We start from the raw sequence: 563 nt of genomic DNA, 5'->3' as shown, positions 1-563 counted from the left end.
GTGGAAGGGGAGCTGGTGTGGGCAGATCACAAGGGGAGAGAATGGAGGTGAGGGGTGGGGGGATGCGTGGAGGCGCTAGACTCTTTGTAACATAAAAAGACCAATCAACATAATAGTGTCTAAATAATTGCTGATGCATACTTTTAAAATTAATAATCATCAATGAAAATTTCAGATTATTTTAATGTAAACATGTTAAAGTTTTCCTCTTACTTTTTTGGACCTGAATTCTATAAACCAATAGAAAATATAAAATGTATATTAGAAAATTTGATGGTAACTACTAGACAAAAAAAAAATAGCATAATAAAACAACAGCAATAACAGCCAAAGAAATAACGGAAATTCATTCAATCCAAATCAGTAGGGAAAAAAGTAGGGGGAAATGAAAACAGAAATTCTTGTTCTGCTTTGAGCACTTTTGGTCAAGCCATAAGTGCTCACCAATCAGACACGAAGGGGCCGACCAAGCTCCCGAACTGAGTTTTAAGAAACGCGCACCGTAGGAAAGATAGTCAAGAGGATGGATTTGTACGTGACATAGGCAGCCTTCAGAATTCACG

The sequence above is a fragment of the Homo sapiens genome, chromosome 4 (genome assembly GCF_000001405.40).
Source record: "Homo sapiens chromosome 4, GRCh38.p14 Primary Assembly".
Lineage (NCBI taxonomy): Eukaryota > Metazoa > Chordata > Mammalia > Primates > Hominidae > Homo > Homo sapiens.
The sequence above is the reverse complement of the archived record's forward strand: the minus strand, read 5'-3'. Positions refer to the sequence as shown.